Source organism: Homo sapiens, chromosome 6 (genome assembly GCF_000001405.40).
Source record: "Homo sapiens chromosome 6, GRCh38.p14 Primary Assembly".
Taxonomy (NCBI): Eukaryota; Metazoa; Chordata; class Mammalia; order Primates; family Hominidae; genus Homo; species Homo sapiens.
Genome location: NC_000006.12, coordinates 100,230,363 through 100,239,325, shown reverse-complemented (window position 1 = coordinate 100,239,325; position 8,963 = coordinate 100,230,363).

The following is an 8,963-nucleotide window of genomic DNA, read 5'->3' as shown; positions in this document are numbered from 1 at the left end:
CAGGAGGCTGAAGCAGGAGAATCTCTTGAACCTGGGAGGCGGAGGTTGCAGTGAGCTGAGATCATGCCACTGCACTTCAGCTTGAGCCACAAGAGCAAGACCCTGTCTAAAAAAAAAAAAAAAAAAAAAAAAATCTCAGGGGAAACATTGGAAGGTACCATATAGATATCATTTGTGAAAGATTTGTGAAAAGAGATGACAAATTAATCTGAATCTGAAGCTGACTTCAGACCCCATGAAGGGGCAAAGGGGCAACAAACAAACAAACAAACAAAGAAAAGAACTCTTCTCCTTCCACAGATTTATGCACTAAGTATTAACTGTAGTGCTCCTCTGGACTTACGCATTAAGGTTAATCAGCATAAGTTTAAAATTTACTTTAAAAACTTTAGTGCACTAAAGTTTAAATTAAATATACTTGTTATATAACTTCCTAAGGGGACTGAAAGAATTAGAGTCAAGTTAAACTTTTAAGCAAAGTTACTACAATCATTTATTGAGGAGGTGCAGGAAAACCATAGTATTATGTTTATTCTTATAAGTCAATCAGATTAAGAATAAATAATTATAATTAACAAGGAGCAAATATGCAAATATTACTTGTCAATCATATTCTCTTCTTTTAAGGTTACAATAAAAACAATTCCATGGTTAAATATTTGTTGACAAAAGTTTACCATATTTTATTCATTTAATTTCTTAATATCATCCAGCTCTCTCCTCTTCCTGCCAGCTTTGGCCATTTTGTCATGTCTGTGGTTAATTTATATTCTATGAAAGGAATATCTTCCAGAAAAATATGCTTATCTGGTTAACAGCTATAGCATATTAAAGACCATAAGTCTTTCAAAATTTCAGAAGGCTATAAAACCAATTGTTTGAGTCAAAGAATATATGCATAATGTTTTTATGGATAGTTCATATTAAAATAAGGCTAATCTTACATTATGGTTATGCTGGCTTCTCTCAAATGCATATATAGTCTTAAAATGTTCATCACTTTTTTAAATTGTCAGTTTTATTTACTCCAAAGGTTGATTTCCTTGAAATAGATTTTTTTTTCTGAGACAACATTCCAGTTTATATGTAAATTGAAGCACACTCAGATTAAATTAAAATAACTGTGAATGATGGGGCAGTTTCCTCACATGAAGTCTTTTCTTACTTAACCTTTCCACATGAAAGAGAGAATCTGTACTTGGTGTCCACTGAACCTGTTTGACATTCCGGAGATGTCAGAATCCTAAAGAATACATTTTAGCTGGTCTGAGTAATGCTTTTGTTGCAAAAAAGAACTAAGCTGGAGAAGGATTTGTGATTTTTCAATTCTAGAAATAGTGTGATGAAAAAACTAATGATCCCACACAGAGTTTAGTGTTTGTGTAATGTTTATTCAGCCAAACAGAGGAGCATTTTTCTCTGCTATTAATCCTCAGCGTTTCTTAGACTCTGGCATAAAGTATTGGCAGAAAGCAATGTTTCAGTAGCATGTTACATTTCATTAAATATATATGGGAATATGAGTGAATCCCAAAACTCTTTTTGAAGTCAAGCACATTTTCTAACCTAAGAATGTAACACTTTAATTTGTATTCATTTTCACTCAATAGAAAATTATATTTCCATCCCAATTCTCTTTTATCTTGCAAATTAGTAAGCAATAATTTAATGTAAGATCCAAAAATCTTTTCATGTGATCATTTAAAATGTTCCAAAGCAAAAAAGATTTTCTCTGAATGGCACATATTATCAATTCCTTTAGCTTTCTTAACTTTGTTTTTACTCTTTTTCCAAGTCACTTTGAACATATCCTATGAAAATATTTGGAATGGCTAGATCCACTAAGAATTCAAATTCCATTGTATGATTTCCTCAAATCTCTTATCTTTTAGTGTTTGCATTTTCTCAGGGAACATGCCAATTCTGATGGGATTGTCATTTTAGCTTCCCAGAATCACTTGTGCATCCTTTTGTAAAACATTTTGGAATTGGTGTTACCAAATTCCAAACATGGTGGCAAAGAAGGCAGCTCCAATGCAGGCGGTGGGAGGCAGGAAAGAAAGAGAGAGAGAACTCTTCGGAATCTTAGTGAAGTTCAACCAAGTGGTAGATCTTATAAGACTTACAACAACAACTTGGCATTTACTGAACACTTAATACATGGTAGGCATTGCTGAAAGTGCCTTCTGTAATTTGTCTCATTTAATAATCCCTCTTCTATGGGGTAAGCACTCTCATTATGCTCATTGTAAGGTGCGGGAAATTAAAGAATCAAGAAATTAAGGGACTTCTCTCAGGCTACATAAATAATAAATAGCAGAAGTGTGACATGAACTCAGGTTTGCCTAATTCCAATGCATATTGTAAATCCACATCTCCAGCATTGCAACCAGCACATTCCAACCTACATCAGAAATGTATGTGCATACATTTCCAAAAGGGCTTATTTTCTTCTGAAATTACTCAGAATAAGGCCACAGCTTGTGTTTTTGGTTTTATGTTCCTCTGAAAATTTGTAGCCAAACCCACATTGCCCCCTAAAACTTTGAAATCTTATTCTATGTTTTGTTTTGCACAAGTCCCTTTGTAAGTAAAAATGCAGTAAAAACAAAGAGGCATTAGGCTCAAACCAGCATGAAATTTGCCCTCTGTTAGTCAGCCAAATCCTGCTGATGGTCCCAGAAGGGGCTTTGCTCAAGACAGGGTAGTACTATGAGAAGGTAGTACTATGAGAAGGACCTCTGGGCTGCCCTTGGCTGTCCCAGCCAAGCTTGACTTTGATGCCTGCAAACACTTGCTTTGATTGGAGTTGTCTTGTTACTGAGTGGGGCTCAGCTTTCCAGCGCTTTCCAATTTACAAACTGGAAATTCCTGCGGTGAAAGATGTAAAAATTGTTTTTAAATATTAAATATAAAAGATTAAAAATGCAAAAAATTGTAATTGTGTGATCCTTCTATTGCTCCTATCTTCCAAATGTGTAGCTATCTTTGACCTTTCGTCTCAGAAAGGGCAAACTGTTTATGTCCTGGTTTCAACTGCACCTGATTTCATAAGTAATGACTTCTACATGACAGAAGGTAGGGGCAGCCCCAATGACCCCTTTGCTCTAAAACTGTCATAGAACTGATGTCCCAGCATGGTGTGGGGGATGCCGGTGATATTTTCTTGCACCCATATTTATCAGTGCTGTATTTACCAAGCATTTTGCCCTGTTTTATGTAAGGGCAGGCTATGTGGCAGTTAAATTTTAGCTAAGGCAATTATACTTTATCTGCTGAAACTTTACACTAACAACTTTTAAAGTATTCCAATTACATAGGAGTATTTTTCCCAATTTGTAATTGTTCTGTTGAGTTCTTTTGTGAATCTATTGTGATTTGTGACTGCTCTATTGAGTTATGAAGCAGCAAAGTCTTGTTGAAGAGGAATGTATGAGGAAGTGGGCTTTCTGATGAAGTCAATAGTCTGGTTAATTCAGATCTAATGCAAAATTCCTTTTGGTTCAGTCTTGGAACAATCTTTTTCAAAAAGTAATTTGCAAACATAGTATATGGAATGGAATGCAATTGTTGATGGCTGAGGTGGTCTGGATTCATTATCTAAATGTAGTTCCTGAAAAGGGCTGTGCAAATTGGTGGCCCATGGGCTCACTACTGCCTGCCTGCCTTTGAGTCCTTTCTTATTTAGTCTCAAATTCTAGCTTCTTTAGGTACTACTTGATCTGGGGCAAGCTCTTTATCTTTTCTAAGTCTCAATTTCATCATCCATAAAAAATAAAAAAAATAAAAAAATAAAAAAACGTTAACTACCTCAAAGAAATGTTGGGAGAGGTGAGTGAGTGAATTCATGCAAACATCGTAGCACAATGCCTGGCACCCCACGAGTGCTGAATAAGTATTAGCTTTCATTAGTACTCCTACCTTAACTTTCAGTGTTTACGGATCTCAATACATACTTTAAAAATTGCTTTCCTTTGGGTAAATACCACACAATCAAATTATTTCCTTGCCAATTCCCTCTTCCTTTTGTAAAGAGAGTTTAAATGTAGCACAGGAAAAACTGCCGTAGCTGAGTAGCTCTGGATGGGGGTGCATAAAATGTTTTGTGTGATTTAGCAAATGTAATAGTTATTTCATGAATAGTAAACATAACTTCAGTTAGGTTTGATGAATGCATCTGTAAACATAAGACAGGCTAGTTTACTGACTCAAGAATATGAATTTCAAATTCCCATCTGAGATTTGAAAAATTCCTTAATAACCTACATGGTTGCTTTAATGGCTTTCTACCATGAAGTGACTGATGATGGAGGTTTGTACCTAATTAGACTGTCTGCCTGTTTTTCCCTCCTTTCCTCCTTCCCTCTCTTTCTTCTCCTAAATTGGCAGGACAGGGGAAAATAGGAAAAGCCTTATTTGTTAGTTATTAGGTCTCTCTCTTTGGCCATCCTCTTCACAGTGGAAGGTCGAAGAACAAAGGTCAACTTCCAAGGCTCCTACAATAAGCACTCTGACCTCATTGCCAAATCGCTTTTCCAGAGAGTGCCACCAGATCGTGTGTCACTTTTATGAACTTTAGTTTTGGCAAACCTGATGTTATGTGTCACTCTCTTTTTGGTTAAAATGTATACTCTCTAAAAGCAAAAACTATAGATGAATAAAAGCATGTTTGCAGCCTGATTTCAGAAAATGTCTTCATTTCTTTCTTAGGAATTGAAAGTATATTTGAAATATAGTATCACAGCAGGAACCTGGAATTTACCGGTTAGCTCCTTGTTAGCATATTATATTTAAATAATGCACAAAACAAAGTTATAATTCATGAACCATCCTTTGCAATGAGTTCATTTAGAAAGTATATTTGAATTTCATTGAGTAGAAGAAGTCTGCAAAGAGGTGGTTCATCTAAACATCAAGGTTTTGTTCTGTCCATTTAAAAGCCAGTTTTTATTGCTTTAAAAGCATTCACTTCAACTGGATACACAATGGCAGATTGCTCACAACTATGGTTTCACTAAAATGAATACATATGCTTTACACTTAATTTTAAAAATATTTTACTGTTTATTTCTGCACTTTAATTAATAGTTTAAAATGGGCTTTCATCCTTTAACCTCCAAAACTAACTCATTAAAAAATGGAACAAAAACAAATCGGCTCCTCAAAAAACCCAAAATAAAACTAGATATTGAAGTACTTTATAATTGTTAATATACACATAAATCTCATAATTTATTTTCATTTATATTTATGGAAGAGAAAAATATTCATATTTTTGATTTTTCAAAATGATTGGAATTAACATTGGACAACTGGTATCTGTTTATTTCATACATTTGTCTAATCATTACTTTATTCAATATAGTATATACTTCATTCAATATAGCCTTAAATAGGCTGAATATATTCACTTAACATCTGCCAATTATGTCATTTCATAAGGAATATTTATACAAAATATAGTCATTTTTGGCATTGTGATTCCAAATATTTATTGTTTTTTAAATGTACACCCTTTTCAAGTGTCTCTATAGATTTGAGTATACTTAAGTGATTGCTCTAATTTGTATCTAACCAAATTAATTAAACATTTTCAGTAGTTATATTTTAAAAAAATCTTACTTCAACTTGGAAAAAACAAACATTCTGTATATTTATTTTATGTTTAAAATAACAGTTGAGAACCCATAACCTACTGGATTCTACAGATAAGAAAAACAGATTTTCACAATCCTGCTAGCTCTGATAGGTTCACTAAATCTTGTTGATATTTGTACACATAACTCGCAGTTCATTGGTACACATTAGAAGCTTGTAGCCTATGGAAATGCTATTTACATGTGGGGGAAATAATATGTAATTTACCAAAGGATCAACAATTATTTCCAGTGGTAAGTAGGCTGTGATTATTTTACAAGATGGAAAACCCTTATAAATTCACTTATTGCTGGTGCTGGATGATGAAATGTAAATAGTTGTAAAAGATAGCATGCTTTTTTTTTCCTAACTTGAATTCACCAGTGCACTGAATGAAAAAAATGGTAAAACAAAACCTTGAAATGATGGAGTCATGGAATTACAGCATAGGAGAAAAAAAAATTCTAGAAATTGATCATTCAAGTGTGTCCTAGCTATGCAATGCTCCCGAAAGTAGAGCTCTGTCCTATTTTTACAGATCCCCACAGAAGGAAATTATGTAATTTATACCCTTTAGTTACATTGACTAAAATAAATTGCTAACAAGTCTAATAATTCTATTTTGACTTGCTTATGTACTTATTGGTTTCAGTGTGGAATAACCTATGACTCCTTTAATGAGTAATAGCTGAATGGCAAGCTCACAAGGTTGTCTTCACCTGGTCGCCCCAGTCTGGGCCAAAGTACAGCAATCCTTCCCACAGATTCCTTTTGGAGGAGTGAAAAGCCATCCCTTTCTTACATCGCTCACTTTCTCTTAACTCCCAACAGTGTTTCCCATAGTTGGCCATCTTTCGTGGCACTGCAGAATTAAGGTGAAGGAGAATTATCAGGTGCTAAGTTCTCCAGTAGCTCTCTGACACCAGCCCCCCAGTGTACTGATGTCAAATTTGAGCCCTGAGAATAGTCAGTGTTTGAGACCAGAGTTTGAATACTTCAGATCATAACTGTTAAGTCTGAGAATGTACGGGGATTTCATTATTGCCTCTCAGCAGCTTCTTTTTAAATGTAAACAACCCTGGAAAGAATAACACATTGAACTGTTACCTGCTGCAAAAGTATTAAGATTTCTTTCTTCTGTGGCCTGCTGCTTAAAATGAAGTTTCTGAAATAAACTATCAGAATATTTAAAACCCTGCTGGACCTCGAGGAGGTCCTGAGGTGAGTAACACAAGGAGTTGAAGAAATTTCAGATCATTTTTAGGCAGAGAGTAATGGCCAGAATAGACAGTGTTTCCGGAGTGCTTACAGAGTTCCAGGTATCGTTTAAAAGTTTTTTTTACATCTAATGACTTGTCTGATTCTTATAAAAACCTCATGAGGTAGATTCTGCAATTATTCCTCTTTTACACGTGGCAAAATTGAGGCAAAGAGAGGTTAAAAAACTCCAAGGTCACAGTCAGTAAATGACAGAGTGGGGATTTCAACCCAGGTAGCCTGGCTCTAGTGCTTAAGCAATTCTGTCTATTCACCTGGTTCCTTATACAGAACAGTCAAGGTCTGGAGGTAAAAACTTGTGAGGAGAAGCAGCCCAGAAAAGCAATGCAGGAGCCCCACCAGCTAAATCACCAATTTCTATTTTGCTTCAGATCAGTTTTCACAATCTGGTTGGAAAAAGGATAGTCCTAATTCCACGATCTCTTTTAGAAATAGAAATCTGTTTTATTTCAACTCTGCTAAGTCATGCCACTTCTGGTAAGCTTATCTTTTCTCTGTATCTAAGTTTAATTTTCAAATAAATAATTTGATTCCACACACACATGAAAATGATCATAAGTACTTTTAAATGTGAAGTAATCTGTACAATGGTATGTACAGTTTGTGTGTGTGTGTGTGTTTAACATGAAGACCACCAAAAATGCTAAATAACCAAAATAAACTACTCTATAAAGCTGGTTTTGAAAAAGGAATTTTTTTTTTTAAAAAATTGATAAACAGCTAAACTTAAATAATCACTTTGCTTTTTATTGTATTAATAGATCTTATCTTCAAAGCAAGATGAAATTTGGTGAAATTGTCTAGATAAGTCCTAAGGAAAGGTTACTTGTGTTCATTTGCCCTGACAAATAATGCTTCGTCTGCCCTGCCAAGTATGTGGATTTACTTGTTTGATTGATTGATGGATTGCTTATATTTTTGACCATAAAGCTATTGTTTTAAATCCTCAGGAAAATTTGACATAATCATATAAGCCAACTATGGTTTCCGGAAATTTGCTTTTCTTTAAAAAGAAATTGAAAGTCATTTGGTGAATTCTTTGTTCTAAAAATGGCAATTCAGACAGGAAAATTCTGGGATTGATTTTAGATCATGCTTCAGTTCTACACTTTTCTTTGCCAACAGAGACTTGGTTACACTCCACCAGCCTGGTGTTGTGTTTTGGAACTTGGAACATCCCATCATTGAGAGTCATTACCATATATTGCTCCGGGAAATTAACTGTGTAGCTGTCAGTAATTTCCAGGAAAGCTATCCTACTCACTTTCCTGCTTTGAATCACCAGGCAGGTCTGTGATTACTCAGGCCCTAGGCAAATGTTTCTATGATGAGGTCTATTCTATAGGGAAAGTGAGGAATGGGGTTGGGTCCATAAGAGTAGGTTCTTCCTTAAAGTCATGTGATAAGCATCAGCCAAACCATCTCCAATACTGCTTTCATTTCAAACTTTAACAATCTTGGATGCAACTGGAAAGTTGTTATTTAACCCAATTACCCTTGGAGGGACTGGTCCTCTGGATGAAGGCAAGAAGATACACGATCAAATTAACAGTAGCAAGATGAGTAGCAGGAAGCTACAGTCAGCTCATTCAGAGAAGTAAAGATCTAATCAAGTACCATGTCAGCACGGTAAAGTTAAAGTGTATTTGGAAAGACCCACCAATGCCAAGGTTTCCTTGCATAAAATATAGCACAAGTTCAGGCTTCTAAACTCTACATACCTCTGACCTTTGGCTCTTTTATGTCTCTATTTTTCTGGCCTGACAGACCACATGCCAATGTGCAACCCAGAATCCCTCACCCTTGTGATTTATGGCTTACAGCTGCTTCAGCGTCTCCACCATGGCAGCTGCTTTTCAGATGTCTTCAAACCAGAGGGAGAGTGTTAATGTGAACTTGAGTGGCTGCAGAAGAGAGGAAGAAAAGTTGATGAAAAAATCATCTGAATTCAGCCCCAAAGCTTTCCATTGATCTTTGCCTTCAGGGCCAAGCAAAATGTTTGGTTTATTTCATAAGCTAATTAGGTGTGTGAAAGGCTACTTGGCATT